Source organism: Homo sapiens, chromosome 7 (genome assembly GCF_000001405.40).
Source record: "Homo sapiens chromosome 7, GRCh38.p14 Primary Assembly".
NCBI lineage: Eukaryota > Metazoa > Chordata > Mammalia > Primates > Hominidae > Homo > Homo sapiens.
Window position 1 is genome coordinate 94,529,856 of NC_000007.14, and position 27,665 is coordinate 94,557,520.

The 27,665-nt window shown below is 32.6% G+C and overlaps 1 protein-coding gene and 1 long non-coding RNA gene across 11 annotated transcripts in view, besides 1 other annotated feature; one reads left to right on the forward strand and one right to left on the reverse strand.

The window, feature by feature from the left end:
- Nucleotides 1-27,665, forward strand: part of CASD1 (CAS1 domain sialic acid O acetyltransferase 1) — a 124,364-nt gene that overhangs the window by 20,047 nt on the left and 76,652 nt on the right. For 4 of the 9 annotated variants that reach the window (XR_007060138.1, XR_007060140.1, XR_007060139.1 and 1 more), the window contains exons 6-17: nucleotides 3,350-3,394; nucleotides 3,824-3,947; nucleotides 5,454-5,668; nucleotides 7,617-8,039; nucleotides 9,112-9,201; nucleotides 14,556-14,675; nucleotides 15,690-15,846; nucleotides 17,241-17,320; nucleotides 19,678-19,779; nucleotides 21,483-21,623; nucleotides 22,495-22,572; nucleotides 24,628-24,720. Coding sequence is in view for 6 of the 9 variants with exons in the window: in XM_011516495.3 (XP_011514797.1) it covers nucleotides 3,350-3,394; nucleotides 3,824-3,947; nucleotides 5,454-5,668; nucleotides 7,617-8,039; nucleotides 9,112-9,201; nucleotides 14,556-14,675; nucleotides 15,690-15,846; nucleotides 17,241-17,320; nucleotides 19,678-19,779; nucleotides 21,483-21,623; nucleotides 22,495-22,572; nucleotides 24,628-24,720 (1,668 nt within the window). In the remaining 3 variants the exon portion in view is untranslated. Of the gene's footprint in view, nucleotides 1-3,333; nucleotides 3,395-3,823; nucleotides 3,948-5,453; nucleotides 5,669-7,616; nucleotides 8,040-9,111; nucleotides 9,202-13,097; nucleotides 13,568-14,555; nucleotides 14,676-15,689; nucleotides 15,847-17,240; nucleotides 17,321-19,677; nucleotides 19,780-21,482; nucleotides 21,624-22,494; nucleotides 22,573-24,627; nucleotides 24,721-25,636; nucleotides 27,165-27,665 lie in introns of those variants that run through there. The other 5 variants (NM_001363426.1, NM_022900.5, NM_001363428.1 and 2 more) reach the window with 4 other exon arrangements.
- The window catches only part of LOC105375404 (uncharacterized), a 34,852-nt gene that overhangs the window by 6,212 nt on the left and 975 nt on the right, over nucleotides 1-27,665 (reverse strand). Inside the window, exon 2 of one of the 2 annotated variants that reach the window (XR_007060433.1) lies at nucleotides 2,017-2,123. This is a non-coding gene — a long non-coding RNA (uncharacterized LOC105375404). Of the gene's footprint in view, nucleotides 1-2,016; nucleotides 2,176-27,665 lie in introns of those variants that run through there. The other variant, XR_007060432.1, reaches the window with a different exon arrangement.
- Nucleotides 26,255-26,304: an enhancer, noted in NCBI's record as "active region_26288". NCBI's record gives its function as "activates an Ori minimal core promoter by ATAC-STARR-seq in GM12878 lymphoblastoid cells {active_cell/tissue: GM12878}" and the evidence as "EXISTENCE:reporter gene assay evidence [ECO:0000049][PMID:35858748]".

Genomic DNA, 27,665 nt, shown 5'->3' on the forward strand with positions numbered 1-27,665 from the left:
GGAAATAATATTTGAGAACTGTGAGTTAGGAAGAAGATACACTTATTAACTAGAATAGCCTTATAGAAGCCTATAGGCATAAAAGCAAATTTGAATTGAGAGGACTCTAAGTAGATTGTTATTCCACAGATATTTCTATATTCTAGGCACTAAGCTAGACACTGTTGATACACTGGTTAACGTTATAGAGATCCTCCCCTCAAAGAGCTAGATGAATAACACATACAGATACTTAAGCAATGTGACAAGTGCTAAAATAGGAAATGTAAAGGGCACAGCAAACAGGATTACAGAGGATAAGCCCTAAGTGTATTTTTCTTAAGTTTTCAAAATTAGTTTTCAGATAAAGTGGTCTTGAAGGTGAGTGTGGGGAACGAGAAGTGGGGTTATTTCCTGCAAAGGAAACAGCTTGTGCAATGATGCTGAAGATGATGTATAGCCTATTCAGGGACTCTCCAGCAGTTTTAGTGGAGCTGACATACAAAATGCTTCTTTATGTGTGTTGGTTTTGGTTGTTCTTTTCACGTGCTTCGTTTTACAGGGAGTTGACAAGAGATGAGGAAGCAGGTACTACATTATGAATGATATCCTCAGCCATACTGGGGGAGTGGATTTATTTTATCTATTTTTTAACTACTTCTAAATACTTCAGGGTGTATTTTCTGAAAATAAGTACGTTGAATTGAATTGAGGGTAGTGGAGAACCATTGAAAGTTTTAAGCAGAATGATGTGATACAGTGGAGGAGTGGAAGGAAATTAGGCTAACTTGTAAAGAAACTGGCAGTTTAGATGTAATTCTGTAAGTGAATGGAAGTCATTAAGTCTGAGCTATTGAATGGATTTGGGTAGTCTTGGTATGGATTGAGGTAATATTTGAAGTTATTTGAATGGAAGAAATTGAATAGGCAGAGAATTTAGAGATTAAAGAGGAGAGAGGGCTTATGAGGAATGGAATTACCAAGGAGATTCTGAGAAGTGGCAGTAAAAGGAGTAGGAAGAAAACCAAGGGAGGAAGGACTGTAAAATCACATACAGGGGAGGTAAGGATTTTAAAAGATGGGTAGTCACCAGTGTCCCTTTCAAAACTTGCTAAGGTGGAATGAAGCTACAGCATTTGGCAATCCAGAGTTCACTAATGGGCTCTCAGGACAGTTTTAATGGATAGTGAAGCCCAAATTCAAAACTTAAGTTGAGGCATAAATGAGAGATAAAGAAATTGGCATAGTGAGGGCAGAATACTCTTTCAAGTAATCTGTTGGTTACAGGTGTAAGACAGGGTTCAAGGAAAACTTTTTGAGGATAAGGATGATTTAACACTTTTAGGTTGAGGGAAGGAAAGAGAGTGGAGGAGGAGGACAAGATTGATACTATGAGAGTTGGAGGACATAATTCATGGATCATAGCTCCAGAAGTGAAAAGGGAGGAAATGTAGACAGAGGAAGGCATTAGCCATTGAGAAGAATAGGGACATATTTTCTTTACTCTCTTGTCAGAGGAAGATAGCTGGGGGAGTATAGACAAGTTGTAAGAATGAAGGAAGGAAGGCAAGAGCAGACTTGTCGGATGAATTTTATTTTCTCTATGAAGTTTGAGAATTAAACTTTATGCTGAGAAGGAGGGCAGGAGAGACTGTATATGGAATGTAAGGTTTGGGATAACCAATGTAAGTTTTGGGAATGAGAAAGCCACCTAGGGATGAGGAAAAAATATTTAAAATTTTGTATCCACTGAAAATTCTTCAACAGTGTAAAATGAAGCATGCTCAACTGGAAATGGTCATATATCTAAAAGAAAATGGATTTATTTTGTTATTTTTCTCTATATTTGTAGTATTTTACAGTAAGCATGTATTACCTTTATAGTGAAAAAGTGTCATTTTTTTACATTGGTCAATTTTTTGTTATTAAATTTCATGCTTGTTTTTAATTGTTTCTTGTGTGTATGATTGCAATATCAGGTATTTGATGTGGTGATGTGTGTGATTCAGAAGTCAGAAGACTTAAGTTCCGACTTACCTGGCAGGCCTCAGCAATATCCTATTAGCCATTCTGAGTCTGTATCTTTGTTTTATAAGAGATGTATAATATCATCTTGCCTGCCCCACAGGGTGGCAGGCAGGAATCTATATTACAATGAGATAATTTAAGAGAAAGTGTTTAGTAAGTTACTAAGTACTATATACTTGTTATATATAACATATAGTTAGCTGCAAATATAATTGTACTGTAATATACTATTGCTATATATTATAAATAGTATACAGTAGTCCCCATTTATCCATGGTTAATATGTTCCAAGACCCTAGCATGTGCCTGAAACCATAGATGGTACCAAACCCTATGTGTACAATGTTTTTTCCTATACATACAAAAGTATGATAAAGTTTAATATATAAATTAGGCACACTAAGAGATTAACAGCAATAACTAATAATAAAATAGTACAATTATAACAGTATCTCATCATCACTATTTTTGAGCTTTGGGGTCATTATTGAGTAAAATAGGGGTTACTTTAACACAAGGATTGTAATGCTGTGACAGTTGGTCTGATAACTGAGACGGCCACTAAGTGACTAATGGGCAGGTAGCATATACAGCGTGATACCCTGGACAAAGGGAGGATTCACATCCCAGGAGAGACAGTGCCGGATAGCATGAGACTTTATCATGTTACTCAGAATGGCACATAATTTAAAACTTAGGAATTATTTATTTCTGGAAGTTTCTATTATTTTCAGACCTCAATTGACTATGGGTAACTGAAACAGTGGAAACTGAAACCATATATAATGGGGGGAAATACTCTAATTTGCATTTGGTGAGGATTTTTAGGGATCTCTACTTATATTTTTCCACATGTGGTCTTTAATAATCATCAGTTTATTTTGTTAAATATGCATTGGATTTCACTTTCCCAGAAGATTGTTTTGGCACTGACCTTGTATTTTATTTAACACTTACACTGTGTACCCTGTAGGCTTCCATGATTACCTTTTAATTGACTGACATAATACACTAGAGCTTTACTCTAAGCATTTTACTCAGAGTTCAGAATATTAGGTCGTGTTAGATTTCAGTGGTGCTTTTTTTTAAGAACACCAAAGAATTAACCATCCAAATTTCTGTCATCCTGTGTGTATATGTAGCGTTACAAGATTTTAGGCATTGGATATCCTAAATCTGTCTTGTTATAACAATAATAAGCAATAATAATAAGGAATTCTAAAAACTTAGAATGAATTTAGAAGGAAGAACTTACATTTTAAGGAAAAAAATTAAATGATGTTACTTGTAGTAATTCCCTGAACTGATTATAATACTATGATAAAGATTTGTCTTCCTTTAGGATTCCATTGCAAAGCCACATGTGATTGTAGCAGGAGCTGCCACAGTAAGTTATCATCTGTATTCTTACTTAATGATTTTGTTTCACGTTTAAGAACATGCTAAGAAAAAGTTAATTTGTGTTCAGAATTCTTGATTGTACCTAAATTTTTAATTCCTACTTCTATTATGATTAGATTGATGAATTTTAATACAAATACTGGAATTAACTTAGGAAACTTACTGTTAAATATGAGTGTTTTTTATATCTAAAATTGTATTCTTCTTGAATGTTATACATTGAAAGTATAGTTTTATAACAGCTTTTTCTAATTGCTTTCATATATTTCATGAACTAATTTGACTGAATTTTATTCTAATATTAAATAAAATGAGAAATATCTAAAATAATAACACTTGTTACAGTAGGTAAATTATATACTTTAATTGTTTGTGATAAATACTAAATTAATGCATAATTTGTACTTCTTTTTAGTGGTCCATCAAGATTCACAATGGTAGCAGTGAAGCGCTTTCTCAATATAAAATGAACATCACCTCCATAGCACCACTTTTAGAAAAATTGGCAAAGACTAGTGATGTTTATTGGGTCTTACAAGGTAAGGAATGAGTAATGAAAAAATGTCACTTTGTGTATATTTTGAAGCATGGGTTTTTATTATCTCCTGTTTCAAGAAGCAGAATTACTGCTTTATGAGAATTAATTTTGAAACAAGATTTGCAAGATTAGAGTACACTTGAGTTATTTGCTCTCCTTTTTCAAATGTAAGGAACAAATTAATAAATATAGGTGAAAAATAAAAAATATCCTCCAAGAAACCTCATGGCTATAGAATGTATGACAAAAAGATAAGTCCTAAACGCAAATGACATGTGGTATCCCTGATTTTTTTTTCTTACAAAACATATTTATTGTGATTGGGAAATATATACAAAAAATATTATCTGTTTCATAATTTTTTTTTTTTTTTTTTTTTTTTTGAGACAGGGTCTTGCTCTCTTTCCCAGGTTGGAGTGCAGTAGCACGATCTTGGCTCACTGCAACCTCCGCCTCCCAGGCTCAAGCGATCCTTCCGCCTCAGCCTCCTGAGTAGCTGGGACTACAGGTGTGCACCACCACACCCAGCTAATTTTTTGTATGTTTGATAGAGACAGGGTTTCGCTGTGTTTCATAACATTAAAGTCATTAGAAGTAAATATACTTCACCCTGCTTCATAATATTAATAAAGTCATTAGAAGTAAATATACTTTTTTAGCAAGCAATGGGTTTCTGAAAAAATAAAAATAATTAAATAAAATACACTTTTGAATTGACAGAATATGTTTAAATTGACACCATCTGGTTTATGCTTGGTAATGAAATTCTTAGTAGACATTAGGATAACTCATTTTAGGAATTTATTGAATGTCCATTATTTAATGCCTAGCACAATATGAAATGCCATGGATATTTTAGCAATTCATGTTTTGTGTCAGGAATTCTTATTATTTCCAAGTTGAATGTCAAGATGAAAGGAATAAGAAAAAGGGTAGTGATGATCTGTTCCATAATCTCTGTTTTATTCACAGACTCATTGTTAACCTTTCTCATACCAAAATGAGGAAAAATTAGTTATTTATAGTAAGTGATAAGAGAATAGGCAGACCTTGAGCCTCAATAATATTACCTCCTGATGATATGAAGAAAGTTTACAGAATTAAGCAGTGACAAGAGAAAAAAAGATGGGCAGCTATTTTTAATTAAGCAGTCTTCTATAACTCATTTTAGATTTGTTGTTACCTGTTATAACTCAGCATCCAAAAATGTTAAACTCTTAAGACATGCTGGAGCATAAAAATATTTCCGCAAATCTGTGTACATAAAGATGGGACAAAAGTTCTTTAAATTTGAAAGGGATATTGCTTGACTCAAAACTTGAATATAAGATGGGAAATTTATTGCAAACTTTGGGAAGCTTTGCGTAAAAATGAACTATTAGGTACCTGGTACCATCTATACTTTTAAAAATAACATATGAAATGTGGAACAGCTAACTTGCATGATCACAATTTTTACCAATAGGGATTTTTAAAATGTGTTTTTAAAAATGTGTCTCACGTGCAGATCCTGTTTATGAAGATCTATTAAGTGAAAATAGGAAGATGATCACTAATGAGAAGATAGATGCTTACAATGAAGCTGCAGTCAGTATTTTGAATAGTAGCACCAGAAATTCTAAATCAAATGTTAAGATGTTCAGTGTTTCCAAATTAATTGCTCAAGAAACCATCATGGAATCTTTGGATGGCTTACATCTTCCTGAATCGAGCAGAGAAACTGTGAGAAATTTTTACATATGTCAGTAGATGGAGACTATAATATCAATTGCTTTAAGCCATAAGTCATTATAACATGGTTATAAATAATTTGTTTTATTGCAGTCTTAGTAACTTGTAGTTATTGTGTATAAAGATACATCTAGAAATTATTTTGCTTTCTATCATCTAGTTGAATATATACGTAAGAGTTTTGGTATACTCTAAGAGAGAAAGAAGTTAGGGAAGAGGGGAAATTAAACTTCATTTACTGAGTGCTAATCACTGTTAATATACATTGTCTCCTCAGAAGCATATATGTTCTCAGCACACTCACATGTAAAAACTACTGCTTCTATGTTCCCCTTACCTTAAACCTTAAGCTTTCAAGATTAAGCTTCAATGAAGAATACACTTCTTAATGCTGAAAATATTTTTTATTATTTCCCTATAGCTCTTCTGGCCAGGCGCAGTGGCTCATGCCTGTAATCCCAGCACTTTGGGAGGCCGAGGCAGGTAGATCACTTGAGGTCAGGAGTTCGAGACTAGCCTGGCTAACATGGGGAAACCCCATCTCTACTAAAAATACAAAAATTAGCTGGGTGTGGTGGCACACGCTTGTAATCCCAGCTACTCGGGAGGCTGAGGCAGAAGAATTGCTTGAACCCAGGAGGCAGAGGTTGCAGTGAGCCAAGATCCCGCCACTGCACTCCAGCCTGGGTGACAGAGAGAGACTCCATCTCAAGAAAAGAAAAAAAGAATTCTTATAGCTCTTCTATCCTAAGCATTATTCAAGATACAGAGTACATACTGAACAAATCCAAGTTGACCTATGGAAAGGGATTTAGGTTAAGTATGAAGGAGAACTATGTAACTACAAATTTTCACAAACAGTGGAACAAATTATTTTAAGTTTTTTTCTCTTATTAAGCAGTGGTTCTTAACCTTTGTGAGAGTTGCATAAGCCCTTTGAGTATCTGATACAAGACAATGGTTTTGTTCTTCTCCTGCAGAATAATGTGTATGTTTGCATGTACATATGGTTCTCCATATACATAAAAGGGCTTGATGAACCCCCTAAAAACTGGTTAAGAACCTTGCAGTGGAATTTGCAGGCTAGTATCTGCAAGAGTGCCAGGCATAAAACCACCTGCAGTCTCAGGGCTAAAAGGATGAGATTTTCTCAAATCTTGATTATTTTGAATGTTTAGGCTTAAATAACTAATCATCTAGAGTTCCACAGATGCCTAAACTATGAAGTTTTTATAAAACTAGAGTTTGACTGAATCTTCAACTAGACAGACTCAACTTTCCCAGAATAATTTTATTATAATCAAACCATGTTGAAGGTTCTAAATTTTATTTAACATTAGATATCTTAAAACTTGTAGAATCCTAAATGGCCTATAAACTGTAATCCAAATGAAAGGCATATTACAAATATTGCTAGCTAAAAATTAATAATTTTTTAGTGGCAGTTATTTTGTGCTTTTTTTCCCCCACATTTAAACAGTAGACTTTATCTTAAGTGGCCTGGTATCTTCTGTTTTGAAAGTCTTCTAATTAAAATTCTTTGGTCCTTGATGTCTGTCAGCATTTTTTAACTAAAGGTCACAACCCATTAACAACCATGAAATTGGTGTTGGGAAGAAAAAAAAAAAGGAATAGAATAGAACAATCTCAGAGTGCATTCCAAGTCGTAAGGATAGGTATTGTTTCCTGTAATTGTCTTGGGTCACATTATAAAATGAATTTTGTATTTTGGTTCATAGCCCCAGAAGTTTGAAACACCCTGAACTAGCTGTTACAGATGGAATGAATACCATTATTTGCATGATTTGGGAAATGGTAGCAAAAGATACGAAAGCATTCTGGTTTCAGTGCTAAAAACTCAGTAGTATTCACAGGAGAAAATTTAATGTGAAATACATCACTGACAAGATAATAACCAAATAACTTGATTTGTTCACAGACTGCAATGATTCTTATGAATGTGTATTGCAATAAGATTTTGAAGCCTGTAGATGGGTCCTGTTGTCAACCTCGGCCTCCTGTTACTCTCATACAGAAGCTAGCTGCTTGTTTTTTCACTTTATCTATTATCGGATATTTAATTTTTTACATAATTCATCGTAATGCTCATCGGAAGAATAAGCCGTGTACTGATTTGGAAAGTGGAGAGGAAAAGAAAAATATTATCAATACCCCTGTGTCTTCATTAGAAATACTTTTACAATCTTTCTGCAAACTTGGCCTGATTATGGCATATTTCTATATGTGTGACCGTGCAAATCTGTTCATGAAGGAAAACAAATTTTATACACATTCATCTTTCTTTATTCCAATTATCTACATTTTGGTTTTGGGAGTATTTTATAATGAAAATACTAAAGAGGTAAGAGTCATTTTCTTTTTAACTCATGTTACCCTTCTTGTCTCATTACATACTCTGTGTTAAAGAACTAATATCATTTATCATGACAAAATACACAAACAGGTATAGAGATGAAGATGAAGGAAGATTGTAGTTACACTTCACTTAGTGGACTCTTAACTGTTCCTTTTTCGGAACAGTTTGGAGAAAGGTCAGAGTCACGTGAAAATTGTTGAAAAGTTGGGAAATATGACCTGTGAAAAAGATTTCATGACTTAGTGTTATTTTGCCTGCTTGTTGACAGAGAATGTTGAAGTACTTCTGATTTTATAATGGTCTTCAAGCATGAGATACTATTATCTTTTATAAAGTAAAAGAATATAATTAACAAATGCCTATGCACACAAACATATTTTATATTTATATATTTATCAGTCAGACATATATACATACCAATCAGAACTTAATGATGTGGCCACCACTACTCACAGTATTCTGATTTTCCAATTTTAGAATTGCTGTCATTGCTCAGAATATTTGTGTAACTTCTTTACAAGGCATGATTTATTTGAATTACTGAATTCTATTGTAAAACATACCTCTCCTGTGAGGATTATTAATTAGTTATTCATCTTCATTGAGAATATACTGGGGAAAGTAAACTGTAATAATAGAGCTTTTTTTCTGTCAGTAAAGTGTAGGGGAAGTGTAAGATCCTTTTAACCCTGAAATTCTAAAGAAAATTATAGAATGCCATTTTTAGATTTATAAATACTCACATCTGTCATAGTTTAATTTTAGTACATTTAATTTTAATACATTGTCATTTAATACAAAACCAAGGGGATCAACTTAAATATTCAAAATCTCTTCAGTTTATATTTTTCAGATTCATATTATATTTAAAACAGTTTTATACTATCTTTTAGCAAGAAATAAAATGACAGTTTTTAACTGTTTCTCACCATCAAGGTTCTTTTGACAGAAGCATTAGCTTTATGTCCTATAAGAAAACTTTTAACATACTTATTATATGCCGTTAAATAATTTCTTCATGATAAATTTTAAAACAGATTTTGGTTCCTTTACACAGACTAAAGTATTAAATAGAGAACAAACAGACGAATGGAAAGGCTGGATGCAACTTGTGATTTTGATTTATCACATTTCTGGAGCAAGTACAGTAAGTATTTGGAATTTAAGTTCAGAAAGTATAGGAAGTGATGTCATTTTAATGTTTCTTTAAGGGCACCAGCTTTTTTGTGTTTTATAATCTCTACCAGTTATAGACCCTTCTTATTTCCCACTTAATCTTTCCGCCTTTCCATTTTTCTCCTCTTTGAGAAAATGTAATTTTCAAAGCAAAATTTTTTTTAAAAAAGATAAGGCAATAATTGCTTTGTATTTGCTTGGCCTTAATTTTTAACATAATAGAAATAGCTGATATCTAAGGGTATTATTTTATGCCATCTTATTGAACAGCTAATTTGAAGTTATCAGGAAACTTTGAAGAGGCCAGGTGTAGTGGCTCATGCCTGTAATCCTAGCACTTTCGGAGGCCGAGGTGGGTGGATCACCTGAGGTCAGGAGTTCAAGACCAGCCTAGCCAACATGGTGAGACCCTGTCTCTACTAAAAATACAAAAACTAGCCAGGCATGGCGGTGCATGCCTGTAATCCCAGCTACTCGGAAAGCTGAGGCAGGAGAAACACTTGAACCCAGGGGATAGAGGTTGCAATGAGCCGATATTTCACCACTGTACTCCAGCCTGGGTTGCAGAGTGAGACTCCGTCTCAAAAAAAAAAAAAAAAGAAAAAAGGAAACTTTGAAGATGATAATTATAAAGGATTTAGAATAGGCAAGTTACTGTCAGAAGAAATCAAATTTGATTATTATAGTTTATGTTCTATCCTTTGCTGTCTTTTAGGAAGTTTGACTAGCTATTTTTACATTTTTAAAGTTTAAAAAACTTCCAACTCTCTTGCCTCAGTATTCAAAGAATCCAAATACAGGTGGACCACCTTTGTAGACTATGTAGGGTGTGCCATACTTCCTAAGTGCTAAGTAGTATTATCTCCTCTCTGGTGTGGAAGACCCTTCCTTTGATCACCTAGTACCTTTTGTACCTGGAAAAAATAAGTTTTTTCCTTCTCCATGGGTGTCTTAAAAGACAGGATTATTATGATCTCTGGCCACTTTGGATGTGGCAGGGCTAGAAAAAAATGTGTGTTCTGAGTTGTAACAACCCAGCTACATTACAGTTACAACAAACTTTTGTGGCTGAGCCTAACAGCCACTTTTCACACAAGTTTTTATAGTGAAGATGCAAACTTTCCATAAAATATGTTTAAAAATTTTAATAAATTCATAATTTGGGAACTACTGAACTGTTTTTTATTGTTCTATTTGCTTACATCTGTAAACAGTACGTGCATCAATGATAAGTTGAAGTTAGAGAGGAGTGTTGCCCAGAAAGGAGTATTTTGAAGATTTAAGCAGCATTAAGAAGATAAATAACATGGTTACTAGTGTTTTTCAGATATCTCTAACAATTGAAGGATGTCTTTCTTCATTGCCTCTTTATTATTTTCAAAAATTATTTATGATTTTATGAATTATTTATTTGAAGTGTAGAAGTCAGAGAAATGAAGTATAAATGTTACTAAAATTATTTGGCTATGATATGTATGTTTGTTGCAACAGTGAAATTCCTGTGATGCTGCAGCTGACGGGAAGCTAGTGAATTTGAGTCATTATGAAAGAGCCAAGATAGTGTAAATGATCCAAGGCAAGGAGAGATGGAGATAGTAAGACATAGTTTATAAGCCCAGCTAAGAATTTGTAGGATAAATCCAGAGATTCTCTGAGAAGTATGTAGACATGAAAATTGAATCCTAAGAATATCTCTGATGTATGAATAAAGACTGAGTAATGGAATTTGTTTTAAGAAAATACCACTTAGAGACATAATTAATTGCTGACATATTAAAGGGTGATACTACTGTTTAAAAAAATCAGGTAGAAAGAATTAATGGCAGATTAAGTTCCTCAATTCAGTGACTCCAGAAAGGATTTATATCATAAAAAGATGAAGGCAATTTGGTATTCTATTATAATCATTTACCAACCTAACATTCTAATATATCTTCTTATACTGCATCCTAATATATTCTAATTTACAATTTTAAAAAATCTGTGTTCTGGAAGGACATGCTTTTCACTAACAGATCATTTATAATGATTAACTAACATATCCCTGTTCTTTTATATAGGATGTTGTAGTTAAAAAATTTCCTATATCTACATAGGCAAAACATTATTAGTATAGGTTATAACAAACATATTTGGGGACTTGATTCTTGGATATTTGAGGGATTACTCGTACTAAAAACTTTTAACTGTCATGATTATTTTAATTACTTAATATTTTTTATTTTGAATAAAATATGTCAAACTAGTTGTGTCATGTTTTTATGCTAAAAGATAACTGTATCAAAAATTCTAGAGAATTATTAAAATAATCCTTATGGTCTGACATTATCATTGTTAGTGTAAACATTATTTTAAAGTATAATATATATGAAATATAGATGAAATGTTGTAAATTTAATACAAAGAGAATAGTAAGTTTGGTATATACAGTAGGTGATTTGTGTTCCACTGGTTTTTTTTTTTTTTTTTTTTTTTTTTTTTTGCCCTTGGAGAGTTTGTAAGTAACTTCCATGGAAAGACCTGAATGAAAGGTCATGAGAATATATGGGGGACTGGAGAAAGCAGAACTGGAAGTCAAACTAGCTATTAACTCTAATGTAAAGTTGAAATTTCATGCATATTCTTAATACTAAACTTTTGTTGTAGGTAATACAGCAAAATAATAGAGAATTTTGAATATGGATCATACAGTAAATACTGTTATATTAAATTTCTTGGGTATGGTAATGATAATGTGGTCATGTAAGAAACCATCCTTTTTTCCTAAGACATAGGTGGTGAAATAGTTTAGGAGCACTGTCACATGGTCTGCAACATACTTTTAAAAGGTCCAGCATACAGCATATAGGTGTCCATTGTACTAGTACAACTTTTCTGTTCATTTAAAATATCTTAAAACGTTGGAATAAATATTACATGAAAGTTGCAATAGGCCAACATTGGCAGGAACTTGGAAAATTGTTGTTACAGTATTTAATTTTGTTTAAATGAATTATACTTACTGTTTAAATGTAATAACCAACCCAACTTTGTAGTCCCAGCCCCAGTCTTTAAGGGAGTTGAAAGCATGTTTTATGGAGAGTGCTTAAAGTAATTAGGAATGATTAACCTAGGTTCGACATCTGTTTTCAAATATTTATAGAGCCATCAGATATAAGAGTGAGTTAGCTCTGACAGACTCTAGAGCTAGACTCTCTGCTGTGCTAGCCACATTCACTGCATGTGGCTATTGAGCACTTCGTAGCTAGTCAGGATTCAGATGTGCTGTAAGTGTGAAATGTATACCACATTAAATATGATTAATTATGATAAATCAGTACTAAATTCAAAAACTTTATATAAAAGAATGAAAATATCTCATGTTGAAATATTTTGAACATATTGAGTTAAATAAAATATATTTATTGAAATTAATTTCACCTGTTTCTTTTAACTTTTAAAATGCTCTGGTAACCTCATTAAAAAATTACTTATGGCTCACATTTATTTCTGTTGGATAGCGCTGCTCTAGAGGGCTGAACTTGGTAGCTTTTACGTATAGTTAGGTTTCAACTTTTCATGAAAAGGATCATTATAGCAGTTAATGACCATCTAAAGGTGGAATGGATTGCCTTGGGAATTTGTTTTCTTCTATTAAAAGATGCTTAGGCAATCCACGAAGGGGATATTTTAGAGTACATTCAGGAATGAGGTAAGGGCACAGATTTGGATTAGATAAATTCTGAGGTTTATTTCAGTACATTTCCTGCCTCCATCCTTGTGATTCTAATATGTTACACCCTCATTGAAAATTTCTGATCTAATAAGTCATTTAAAAAGAACTGATGATGAAGGGCAATAAATAAAAACTCTTTGTTTGATATGTAGATTGTAGGTGCTATAGGAACTCAGGAAGGAGAAATGACATTCATCTGATAGTAAAAATTGGAATTTTGAACCAGGCTCTGAAGAAGAGTAGGATTTGAATAAGCAAAATGCTTAGGGGAAGAACATTCCAGGGCAAGAATAAACAGGTAAATAAAAGAGACTTGACAAAGGAGTACAAGAAGTATCAGTTTAAGAGATAGGGAATCTGTAAGTTTGCTTAGCGTGGATGCTGTGTAGAACTTATGGTCTAAGTTCATGTTTGTTTGTTTTCCCCAGAAAAAATATCCGTCCAAAAAGAAACATGAATGAAATCTTCAAAAGATGCATACATTTCAGGACTTATAAAATCTATTTAATGTGTCTGCTCAATTACTGTATTGAGCACCCAGCCTCAAAGATCACTTTAAAAAGCAGTGTATGGACAGGCGCAGTGGCTCATGCCTGTAATCTCAGCACTTTGGGAGGCCGAGGCGGGTAGATCACCCGAGGTCAGGAGTTCGAGACCAGCCTGGCCAACATGGCAAAACCCTGTCTCTACTAAAAATACAAAAAGTTAGCTGGATGTGGTGGCGGGTGCCTTTAGTCCCAGCTACTTGGGAGGCTAAGGCAGGAGAATTATTTGAATCTGAGAGGTGGAGGTTGCAGTGAGCCGAGATCACGCCACTGCATTCCAGCCTGGGCGACAGAGTGAGACTGTCTCCAAAAAAAAAAAAAGGCAGTGTACAAGTTATGCTGTGGAAATTGTGATTGTACACATAAAGGATCAGCTGGTGTAGAAAGGTGGAATCACAGTGTTCTAAGGTTATGAGAATTAGTACTAGTAAATGAAATAACATTTTTTGGTGCCTCCTATCATATGTGGATTCAAATGTGTTGTATTTCATTCAACTTAGAAGTAAAGATGTGATGCTCTGAAATACCATAATAAATGACATTAAGGGACTTGGTCATGATGAAGACAGTGATGTAGGAGCATAAAACAAAATTGTTTTGTAAAGTAAGAGTGGGAGGGAAATAATATTCCTAAATTATGTTTACACTGGGTAAAAGTATGAATCCATCTTGCATTCAGGATGTATGACAGTTAATTATAGCTATCATATTGAATTTTAATTGGGTACAAGTTAATGTATAAAGTGCTTCACATTTATTATCTCATTCATCCTTCACAAGAACCCTTCAAGGAAGGAAGGAATAGTCTCATTTTGCAAATTAGAAAACTCAAAGTCATGTAGTTAGAAAGTGGCAGAACTAGAATTTGAAGCTAGGTCTCTCCAATTCCAGTTCTACATTTTTGTAATCCTTGCTATAATGACTAACTTTTGAGAATCAACTTTGTGATTGAGCTGATGCCAAATGCTAATAATCATTTATTATCTTTGTTAAATGTACTTGTTATGATAATCCAAGGTGTAGTTGATGCCAACATATGTTTTACCTGTTTATCTTTGTCAACAGTTTTTGCCTGTATACATGCACATTCGAGTTCTGGTTGCTGCATATTTATTTCAGACAGGGTATGGGCATTTCTCATACTTTTGGATAAAAGGAGATTTTGGAATCTATAGAGTATGTCAGGTAGGAATGCACTGTTATTTCCTTTTCTTCCAGTTGAACATACTTTCTTGAGAAAGCATTAACTTGAGAAAAAAATATAAATATAGTCATTATAAGACTGAATAATTTGAATTTATGAAATAGCACTGTGAAGTTGTATTCTGTGTTCTGTGTTTAGTATTTCAAGATAAATTATTAGTGAAAGAAGGAAAATATAATTTAATATATAATAAAAGCACTGGTACACAGGAGACAGCATTGCTGATTCACTTTAATTTTGTAGAAATAGTTACCTGGAATTAGTATAATGTGCTATGTTTTCTTTCTTTGAGAAGAGGATGAATATTAATTAAGTTTCTACCTAGTGCTAAGCAGTTTCTAAACATTATTTCATTTACTCCCACGTTACAGCCTTGAGTTGTTATCTTTATATTTACAGATGAGGAATCTAAGGCTCAGAGAGCTTAAATAATTTGCCCAAGGTCACATAGTAAGTGGTACAGCACTAGTAAAAATCTGCTGAAATTCTGTGTTTTTTGAATGACATCAAGCTGATATCTGAAATGACTCTTATTAAAGTCCCAAAGACATTTTTAACTTTGAGTTTTGAGTAATACTATTTTGTATCTTTGACAACTCTTAATTTAATCCCAAATGGGGTAAGTCAACATTAAACAAAGATGAAATGGACACTGCTTTCTTAAGATAATCTAATCTATGCTTCTACACTATAGCCCTCAGAAGGACGACTTTTTTCTCTTTTAGCAAGATGGCAGTTATAGCCAGAGGACAGCTCAGGTTGGTGCTTTGCTGGGATTTAGTTAATATGATGATGTATACATATTTTATATTCAGCTCTTTACAGTGAATGTAAAACAAATGTAATTTAAGGGATTAGTAATATATACTTGTACAGTCATTATTGAGTCTTAGCCATTTATACTCTGTCAGAGAAAATCTGCCTTTGCTGTTCGTGTGTACCTAGAATGAAAACAATTACTTAGAATGAAACCATTTTCTTCTCCTTTTCAATAGGTTTTATTTCGTCTCAATTTCCTGGTAGTGGTGTTATGTATAGTAATGGATCGACCTTATCAATTCTATTACTTTGTCCCCTTGGTCACTGTATGGTTCATGGTCATATATGTTACTTTAGCACTATGGCCACAAATAATCCAAAAAAAAGCAAACGGTAAATATACTTTCTTACTAATGTTAGTAAATATATTTTTTCAACGTGTGAAATTTCTTTGTAGTTGCTAAATGATATTATTTTTATTAAGTGATGTAGACAGTTTAAATTTATATGTAGTTTTAACATTTTGAAATTCTGTTCTTAAACGATATTTCTAAAATGTTACAGCTAAGTAGTTAAAGTAATATAACAGTGGAGAATAATAGTTTACATTATATGTGTTTTTTCTTTTTTAAATTTAAATTCTTCAAAACCATTTTACATATTAACTAATGCTACAGTTTTTAAACTGTCTTCTTATACAGAGGCAGAGTGGAGAGAGCTGGAAGAGAGAAGGGAAAGCCAAATAGGCCTCCATGCCCCTATGTTTTGCTTCAATCTTGGCAGCTCTACTTTGATTTATGTATATATTGAGATTTTGAGTAAATATTTCTTTGCAAAAGTCTTCTTATGTCAAACACAATTTAAAAGCACTAATATAATGTATTTTCTAGACAAGCTTTGAAGCAGTTATTATCAACCTGTTTTACATATAAGGAACCTAAATACCCAAAAGCTTGTTATTTTCTAATTTCACATGGTTAGTTACTAATAATGTTCAAAGTGAGGCCACAGTCACTTATCTTAATGCTTTCTTCACCCTCAAGATCATATCATTAAAATAAAATCTTCCTTTTTTGGAAAATAATGTTTTATTTTTAAAAATGTATTTAACTTGACTCTTTCAACCAAATATTATGTGTCAAAAATATTTTTCCATTGGCTTCCAATATAACATCAAATAATTTTTCAGGAATGAGTTGAGGTCTAGCCTCTATTAAAGTCCAGTAGTGTCTTTGGACAGCCTCTGTAGTTTAATTTCTCTATACAAACCCAGCATATTAATCGAATAAACTATCAATAAACTTTTAACACATAATTTTAAATATGCATATGTTAAAATATATTTTATGTTTAAACTCTAATCCATTAGGGGGTTTAAGCTTTCTCCTTGGAACTTTAATGTTTAAGCAATATCACCAAAGTCATATTCAACAGGAGTGTTTGTTAGAATTATATTGAACATCTTGTTCCAGATTTTGCTGTAACTTTGAATAATGAATAAGTATAATTGAATCCAGGAGGCATTTAAAAATACATTTCTAATGGATGAACAGCAGGTGTACAGGGTATCAGTTATACTTTATAGCCTCATGCCTAGCAAGAATCCTTTGTTTTTCTTTTTGCCCTACTTGTAATTTATACTAACTGGATATATTTTGTGTATTCTTGTAAGCATTCTTATATTATTTTAAGAACTATTCAGCATGTACATATATCAAATAGAGAGTATTTAATATGTTGTCTAATATAAATTTATTTTTTAGTAAATTAAATATTTTCTCTCTTAGGAAATTGTTTCTGGCATTTTGGCTTACTGTTGAAACTAGGCTTTTTGCTGTTATTCATATGTTTTTTGGCATATTCTCAGGTTTGTACAATCTTTTCAGTTTATATTTTTTCATATTTTATTTTAAAGTTCAAGTCTATTAAAGCATGTGAGAAGAGTCAGAGCTTTTTTTTAGCTTCATTTTTTAATGACTGTAATAAAAGTGTCACTCTGAAGCTGAGTACTCAGTGTAGTTATTTTGAGATATATATACTTTGTTACCACTGTTTTTGTTGTAAGAGCAAGTTAAAGCTCTTCCTCTGGCAGTTGTTCAAGATCCGTTTTACTTGACTTTGATCAATCAAACATTTATTGAATGCTTCTTATAAGACACTAGTCTAAGTGGAGATCAAAATTTTCTTGACAGAATTTGCAGCTAGTTTGTGTATTATTCATTGCATCAAAGTATTGATTTTTCCATAACTACATAGAGTAAAATTTTAGCAGTTAGTACAACCAACTTAGGAGCAAAGGGGTTTGTGTATCTATAGTATGTTTAATTAAATAAAACTTTTGGTCATTTTTTTTTTAGCTCTAACCTTGTATTTTTCTATTCTGATGGTTGAGATTTTCTGTTATTTTAACAGGATGGCAATCTTGCTACCTGCTGGTTAAATCCATCAGGCATACGTATTATTTGGGCAGCATGATATTTATAACAACACATTTTAATTCAAATGCCTGTAGTTGTGTCATATTCTGCAGTGTACTCACATCTTCAACACACTGTTTTGTACCTGGCTGTATCAGGTGGAAGGAAGTGCCCTATAGGCATTTTGTGTGTATGTATAATCCTATGCCGTTTGGGTTTTTTTTTTCTTTTTGTAGACTTTTATATTTGTTTTTATACTTAAAAGTCTTTAAAGCACTACTATTTCTGCTTGACACTCAAGCTTCTTTATAGAAGATAAATAAGGAAACAACTAAGAAATGTATAAGGAAATAGCCAGGTTAGGGCAACAACTTCTTGACAGTTATTCATTAAAATTCCCAACACTCTGTGGATACTGCTGAGGGAAAGAAAGAAAAGCTGACTAAAGGTTCAATATAAGGATTAAGAATGTTTCCCTAGCGTTGGGTCAGTGTTGACCCCTGGACAAGAACAAAAAGCCCACTGTCTTTCACAAAATAGTGCTTAATATTTGTTTATTGATCACATAATAAGAAATTTTTAATTAGAGATAAAATTTTAAATTGTGTATACATCATATATAATCATAGATATGTTACATATGTATGATCCATAAAATCATATATTTTATCTGAGAGGTACATACCTAGTGAATATCTATATTCATGCTGATATATATACATATATATACACACATATATATGATCTATAAGTACTTCAGACTTCAGATTGCCACTCTTAGTAAAAATCATCCTTAATTTTCTGACACATAGATTTTGATATAACCTATTTTTAATATGCTATGTGCATTTTAAATTCTGTGGTTAAATGGAGACGGTTGCGTTTTATTAAAATAATATTATAAAGTTCTTCTGACCTAAAGACTCAGCATTATCTAAAATATAATATTATTTTCATCTTTTCTCTTTGTTTTTTAATAGCCTCTTTAAAAATCACGATGTTACACTTTTTATGCCGTAGCATTAGGTCTAGTAATGGAGCTTTCCTTGATAGAGTTCATTGTGATTCTTTATTCTGAAAATTGAGGGTTTTGTTCTCTTCTTTGAAAGACTTCATTAATGTGCAGGAATGTACCCAAGACATCTGCCCCTTCAATCCCAGATTTTCCAACCTGTCAGATTCATAAGAGGGTACTATTCACTAACTTTATCAGAGTAAAACTGTAAACTTTGTTTCAAAGGCTGGTAATGGAATTTGGGTATGGTTGATTGAGTAAGGTGACTAATTCAGAGGACTCTTTTAACTCAAATAGTTAATTGTAGATTATTGAGGACATTTGGAGAATGATAACTATATTTTAACTTTAACAGTTGTTATTTGGGATACTGATACCATACTGGCTGAAATATTTTGTATTTTTCTGTTTGATGAGTAAATACTAGTTATTTTGTCTGTGAGATTAAAAACCTTAGGTAGAATGATTTTCTAATTACCAGATTTTTTGATTTGGGGGCTTAAGAAAATTTTACACTCTCAGTAGCCTTTCATGTGAAATGAAAATAAGTTTACCAAGTTTTAAGTCATCTTTTTTGGTCATTAGAAGATAAATTTATTTTCAAATTTTTAAAATTTCATTTGAAATACATTTCAAATGAAGTGATATTTTCAAATGAAATAAAACAGAATTTTAACATTGTGAATGACTCTTATATAATCCAAACTTCAGAAAACTATAATCTGTAATAGAATTGCAAAGCAAATATTGACTTGTACCATCTTAATTTATTTTCTGGATTCCTTTTTTCAGGGTGCATTTGAGAAGATCTTTTCTCTTTGGCCATTGTCCAAGTGTTTTGAACTGAAAGGGAATGTATATGAATGGTGGTTCAGATGGAGGTTAGACCGTTATGTATGTATTTACTTTGTGATATTTTGTCATTTCAAATTATACTGTTGGAAAATGATTGGAAATTTTTGATCTATCTATACTTAGTTTCAGAATAAATAAAGATGTTGATTTAGTAAATCAAAGCAGTCCAGCAGTCCACTACCCCCTGCACTCTTTTCTTTACAGCAGTGAAAGGGTATGCATGTGTATATATATATCTGCTGGGAAATATTATTTTAAAATATTATCTATAACATGGCCTTTGTCTGACTTATAATTTTGATTTATAGGTGACTTGTTGTATATATGCTTCAGCCATTCAAAACAATATTTATTGAGTTTCAATATGTGCCCTAGATGTTGATGCCATGAAGTATACATTAGAGAAAGAAAGAAGACATCTCAGCAGGCTTCGAAGCTTTCAGAGTCTAGTTTAAAACCCAAGATTACTATTATAAGAGGCTACTAACTATGCAATATAGATTTAGTGGTAGAAGTGTGCAAAGAAGAAAGAGCAGTGTCTTGTATTAGTCTATGAACTTGATCTTGAAGAAAGGTTAAGGTTCAATTGGCCAGGAAAATGTAAATCTAGCACAGCATTTGGAAAACTGATAATAACTATTAATTATTTCATTCTTTCCTTTTTTCCTTTCCTTTTTGACTGATCTCTTTTTTCCAATAAATGTTTTCTTAGTGCCTATTCTTTGCCTTTCCTAGTTTCCAACCCCTATGCATTTTTCCAGTGTACTACATTGCATTTCAAAACCACATCTGAATAAAATCTTTGCTAAAGTCTTCACATCAAATAATTTTTAAATTCTCAACATTCTCATTAGAGCAGTGTATTATGATACGACTGTCCCAGTCTATTTAGGCTGCTGTAATAGAGTACCATAGATTGGGTGGTTTATAAACAACAAAAATTTATTTCTTACAGTTTTGGAAGCTGGGAAGTGTAAAATCACACCAGCAGATTTGGTCTGGTGAGGGCCCACTTGCTATTTCATAGACACTTGACTTCTCACTCTGTCCTCATGTGCTGCAAGGGTCAAGGGTGCTCTCTGGGGTCTTTTTTTTTAAAGGGCATGAATCCCATTCATGAAGGCTCTGACCTAATGACCAACCAAAGGCTTTACCTCCAAAACTGTCACACTGGGGATTAACATGATTCAACTTACGATTTTGAGTGGAAGGAAATGTTCAGTCTATTGCAATGATAGTTCACATTAAGTCCTTGTTTAAAAAGAGAAAGCTCATGTACTTTCCGGTCTACCATATTTTTTTCACTTTTATGAGCGTACACTTCTTTTCAGAATTATGACTTGGTGGTGTTATTCTTTGTTTTATTTGACTGAAAGGACTGATATAAAATGTGTTTCATCTTTGTTGGGTGCATTTAAATTTTATCATATGTCTGTAGGAGAGTTCCTTATTATTTTTAAATTGTCTTTATTACTTCACTTGCCACTGAGACTGCTCAGAATCAACCAGTGTTATCTCATATTGTTCCAAGAGATGCTTGCTTGTCTATTGCTGATGGTTTCTAACAATCATCGGCTTTATTTCATTTCTTGAAGTTTCACTCTTGAAGTCCTTCATAGACACTTCAAACTTTAAGCTTTTAACCTACCTACTTTTATTCATATATTCCTCACTAACCAAATATTTTTCCTGTTTTTTGAAAAGTAACTGTTTAAAACAAATTTTCTCTCTTTACTTTTCAGGTAGTTTTCCACGGAATGCTGTTTGCTTTTATTTATCTGGCTTTGCAGAAGCGTCAAATACTTTCTGAAGGAAAGGGTGAACCTCTTTTTTCAAACAAAATTTCAAATTTTCTGTTGTTTATTTCAGTAGTTTCTTTCTTGGTAAGTTTTGAAAACTTTCCAAAATTCTAAATGGTATGGAATATTAACATTAAGATATGGAAATATAATCAATTATTTTTAATAATAAATCTTTTTTTCTCCTTATTTTTCTTTTTAATATTTAGAAATTTTAATACTTCTCTCCCAGTAATTGATAGGATAGCTAGACAAATTTAGTAAAGTTGTAGAATATCTTAAGGACACGGTCAGTTTGACCTGATGTTAGAATAGTTAGGTAAGCAATAACAGCAGAATACACATTTATTTCAAATGCATGCAAAATGTTTGCCAAGATAAACTATATTTTTATCTATAAAAATAGTTTCAATAATTTTTTAAAATTGTTTGTTTTTAATTATGAATACATATTAGTTCATATTTATGGGGCACATGTGATATTTTGATACAAGCATACAATGCATAATGATCAAATCAAGGTAATGTTAAATGCTTGAGGCGATGTATATCTCCTTATTTTTCTAACTGGACTTAAATTCTAAAGAGACTATATATAAGTTAAAAATGAAGAATAAATAAGAGCTCAATTAAACGGGAATTTTAAAAGTTACAATAAATTTGGGATAAAATGTAATGTAAGGTGTTTCATATGGAGAGCCATCACTGCCTTTTGATCACTGTTTCCAGAAAAGCACAGACTTGTGCACCTCCCTCTGTGCTTTCTTATGTTTGGACAGTTGAACATACCAAAACAGGTGATGAGCAAACTTGCAAGCAGTTTTTACTGATAGTTTTTACATAGCATAATGAAGTATAATGTTATAAATAAAGAACTGTAAAAAAAAAACACTGTGAGGCTTATGCCTCTTCCAGACTTGCTTTTTTGAACTTTTCCATACATTTTTTGTTTTAGACCTATTCCATCTGGGCTAGCAGTTGTAAAAACAAAGCAGAGTGCAATGAACTCCATCCGTCTGTTTCTGTGGTACAGGTACTATCTTGATTTAGAGAAATTTCTACATCTTAATTCTTGATAAGAAAATGGTTTTTAGAGGCAGAGAGATTTGAGATTGAACTCCAGAAAATGTAGAGAAGTTACTTCATCTTTCTAAGCCCTTCCTTTCTCTGTAGTAATAGGGATATTAAAATCTCTTTCAAAGGGTTCTTGTATTTAATATATGGAAATGATGTAGCTCAGTATTTTTCACTTAATCTGCCCTTAGAAAATGGTGGCTCACGCCTGTAATCCCAGCACTTTGGGAGGCTAAGGCCAGTGGATCACCTGAGGTTAGGAGTTTGAGACCAGCCTGGACAACATGGTGAAACCCTGTCTCTACTAAAAATACAAAAATTAGCTGGGCGTGGTGGCGGGCACCTGTAATCCCAGCTACTTGGAAGGCTGAGGCAGGAGAATCACTTGAACCCAGAAGGCGGAGGTTGCAGTGACCTGAGATTGCATCATTGCACTCCAGCCTGGGCAATGAGCAAGACTCCGTCTCAAACAAACAAACAAAACCAAAAAGTTAATACTACATGCTAGATATTATGCCAAGGGCTGCAGTGGTTACCAAATCAGACATAGTTCCTACTCTTATGGAGCCTACATTCTTTTTAGCGTTGTACAACTTATGCAATACTTTAATTATAATAACTCATTAAATGGTTTTATGTTTAAAGCCTTTGTTTAGGTCTCACATTCATGATTTTCACCACTCTGTATATCACTTATACTATTAATTATTTACAATGTTTCTTTAAATGACTCACAACCTGTGCTATAGTAAGTACCTTATGTATGTTTTCTCATTTAATGTTCACATGAACCTTTCAAAGTAAAGCTTATCTCTATTTGTTTAAATTAAAAAAAAGACCCACAAGATTAAGTGCCTTGCCACAAGTCCCAGGACTAACACAAGCAAAAGACTAGATTTAAACTTGAGTCTTTTTGATGCTATTGCCCATGAGAATCACTCAATTTAATTATACCTGAGTGGTTCACTTTGGTTCCTTTTTCCCATATTATCTCCTCCTCCTTCATCTTTTATGCATCCTAGAGACTTCTTAGATCCTTTGACAAAATGCCCAGGTTGATCAACATTGAATATGAGTTTTTCCCTGAAGTGTGAACAGATTTGTCAATCCTTTTGTAAGAGAAAGTTTCTGGAAAGTAGTTGTGAAAGTGGAGATAACTTTTTTTCTTTACAGTTTCTTGCTTTTTATAAGGAGGGTACATTCTAAGGCAAGGATTCTTTGCTTGGTAAGCTGGTTATTGGATGTGAGACAATGATTAACACAGCACATGTATACATATGTAACAAACCTGCACGTTGTGCACATGTACCCTAGAACTTAAATAAATAAATAAATAAATAAATAAATAAAAAGAAAATGCAAGATTGTTCCACCGAAAATGAAAGATTGTTCCACCTGGTACAAAAGGACAGGGGAGAGGAGTAAAGGCCAGGATCCCAAAAGCTGGAGATTCTTTCGGGAGAGAAAAGATCCAGAGAGGAAAATATATTACATGTGAATATAGTTCAAGACATCATTCGCCAGGCCATGCAGAGCAAACATGAAGACATGTTAAAAGCCATGCCATTTCCCGTACTATCATGGCTGTCAGCGGAAGGAGGATTTTGAAGGGAGTCAAGAGAGGGAATGACTGTCAACCAAGCAGATACTTTATGAGAGCAGCAAAATTATATGATTTTGTGAAGTGTTGCTACATAAATATGATAGCAACTTTTTCTACACAAAGGGCCTTAGGCAAATCTGTAATTTTTCCAGTATACATAAAATTGTTCAGCCATGTACTACTTAAAATGTTCATTGGTATGCAGCATACCGACCATGTGTTGAGAAATCCAGTTTGGGTAGACTTTAGAACAAAAATAACTTTCTAATACTTTTAGAATATAAAAAGACTGTTGTATATGTGTCAAGTTCACAAACATAAAGAATAAGGTTATCATTTAAAAGAAAGCTTTATACAAAATACTTTTCAATAAAGAGATTATTAATATTTGCTTTTGTGCTTTTTCTTTAGATTTTAGCCTTCATCCTAATAAGAAACATCCCTGGATATGCCCGTTCAGTTTACAGTTCATTTTTTGCTTGGTTTGGAAAAATTTCATTAGAGGTTGGTACATTAATATTTTGCTTATCTTACACAGCCAGGTGTTTCATGTTTGTGTATGTACGTGTGTGTGTGTAAATATCACACATATATGTGAGTATGAAAATCGGACGTACTTTTTTCTAAACTGAAGCTATTATGGAATTACAGGGAAAAGACTTAGAACTTTCAACAATACTAAAGTATTTTGGAATGTTTTTAAGCCTTATTTTTAAATGACTAGATATAGATTACTTGCAAAATATTATTTACGTTGTCTTGAGCTTTCAAGCACAACCAAGATGCTGAGACCAAGAGAGAAAAATATTAGACCAGGTATATAAATGAAATCAAACTGAGGGGATTTTGATTTTTTGTTCATCTCCATAATTAAATATATTACTGGAATTCAGTTTATTGATGCATACCATAATAAAATTTACCCTTATTATGATTGGAAATTGTGGGAGAAAGTATAAACTCATTACATTTTGTGTAAGATACATAATATGAAATTATCTACAAAATCAGTTTGAACAGTAGGTTTTAAAATGTATTCTGAGTAGTCTAAGCTTTATTATTTGAAATAGAATGTTTTAAAACAATTTATATTGTAATAACAACATATATTTTAGAGTTTTTAGAGTATAGGATTTATTAAATTGTCTCTTAAAATAGGGAAAATAAATTCCTCTTTGAGTTCTTGAATAATTGTTCTATTATTTTCTTTGGTCTCATTTATAAGAGAGATTGTATTAGCAGTTGGAGTTCTAAGGAGTAGACTGCAGTGGACTTTTCAGGGCCAGTAGTGAGACAGAATAAAATGGTTTTAGGAAAGCCTTCTAATGTTATTATGCAACCAAATTGTTTAAATTAGGGAAAACTGTAATTTATTCATGGACCCTCTATAAATATCTGACTTAAATATTTTTTCTCCTAGCTATTTATTTGCCAGTATCACATATGGCTGGCAGCGGACACAAGGGGTATCTTGGTACTGATACCTGGAAACCCTATGCTCAACATCATTGTCAGCACTTTCATATTTGTTTGTGTGGCACATGAAATTTCTCAGATCACTAATGATCTTGCACAGATTATTATTCCTAAAGATAACTCATCTCTCTTGAAAAGGTTGGCATGTATAGCTGCATTTTTTTGTGGACTCCTCATCTTATCATCCATTCAAGATAAATCAAAACATTAGGTTCCAAAAATTCTAAAAAACCTAAACTCTTCAGGCTACCTTTGTGTGTCTCTAGAAGAGAAAAGCATCTATCTGGAGATATAAATGTGTATGTAAATATAAACGTTTGTGGCAAGAGGACAGTTCTGTGACATCTGTTGAACATATGTGGTTGTATATATTGGAAATGTACATATCCAATATGAAATACTAAAACAAACAAACAAACAAAAAACCAGAATGCATTGTATAGGATTGCATGTGAAGTCTTTTCTACTGAATCTATATTTCCATTTGTAAGTGATTTTAAGTTAACATATGAAGGCAGGGAAATGATTACCTTTCCAGTAAAAAGTATAGATAATTTAATTAACTTAGTGACACCACCAAGTGTTTTGATATAACTAAATTTGTGGTAATAAGACTGTCTGCACCTGTATTCATTGTGGAACTTCCTCTTTCATTGGAAACTTTCTTACTCAAGAATGACGGCAGTATTGTTTTCTTATATGTGCAATGAAGTGGAATGATAAACAGTATGCCTTTAATTTATATGTGTTCTTGTTCTGATGTTGTTTCCTGAAATGATTTTTCTTCCTAACTGTGGTTTTCGGGTATGCAAGCCTAAATCTTTGTACACTTTGTCTCACAGAATAGTTCTGAGGCTCCATGACAGGGTTTTGTCATTGTTGATGTTATTGTTGCTTCGTTTTATAAAAAAGCCAAAATTTTTTTTCCAATCCAAACGTTCACCTGTTTCCTTTCCTCAAGCTATACCAGTGTAATACCAGTTACCCTGTGGATCCATTTAATATGTTATCCCCACTAATTAATTTTCGTATATTATTTCCAATATTTGGAAAGCTCTTTATAGCCATTTGGTATTTCCTATTACCCACCTCCTATTTTAAATATTTATCAGTCTAAACTTGTGCAGTGTAGTAAACATGCAAGTTGTTACGATTGAGCTGTATTACCATAAGTAGAATTTTAAGTAAACTGGTGAATTTGGGCAATAAATGTTTTTGCTTTTTGTTTGATTTTTTTTTACAAGCTAACTGTTAGAGGTATACATTTATTTATCTGTTGTACAGATTTGATTATGATTTTAATGTTTGAAAGATTGCACTTGTTTGCTTTTACTATATGTGGGGTAAAATATATTTTCTGTTCACAGTATATGAAAATATGGAGTAATTTAAACAGTAAATAAACATTCTGTGGATGCTTATTTTTGTATTGGCAAAGTATCAATTAAACTATATGTGTTCTTTTTCAAAAATGCTGGATCCATTCATGATTGGTTCAAATATCTAATTATTTCCTCAACTTAAATTTGCTTTTTAAATTGCTTAATATGTAGGGGTAGGTTACCAAATGATAGTTGGATAAGGAATCATTTAGTTATCAGAGCTTCAGAGGGTCATCTGCTTTCCACCAAGGAAGTTTAAGCATTATGGTTCATTAGTGATTTTGCTTGAAGATTTTAAAAATGTACTTATTATTTATTTAGCACTGGATTTATGTGCTACTGATATACCTCCATTAATAGAGGAATATTTCTTGGACAGAGATGTGTGTTCTTTCCTTTTCTCTCTTCTTTTGCCCTTACTTAATCTTTTGACATTTCCCAGATAGACAATTGTAATGATTCATTGCTCTGCCTCCTAGACTGCAGCCTTATAAGTAGAGAATAGTATAGTTATAAATCAAAAACTTCCAAGTACTGTGATCACATTATTCTTGTTCATGTAGCTTGCCAATGAGTAGAGTGCATTTTAAT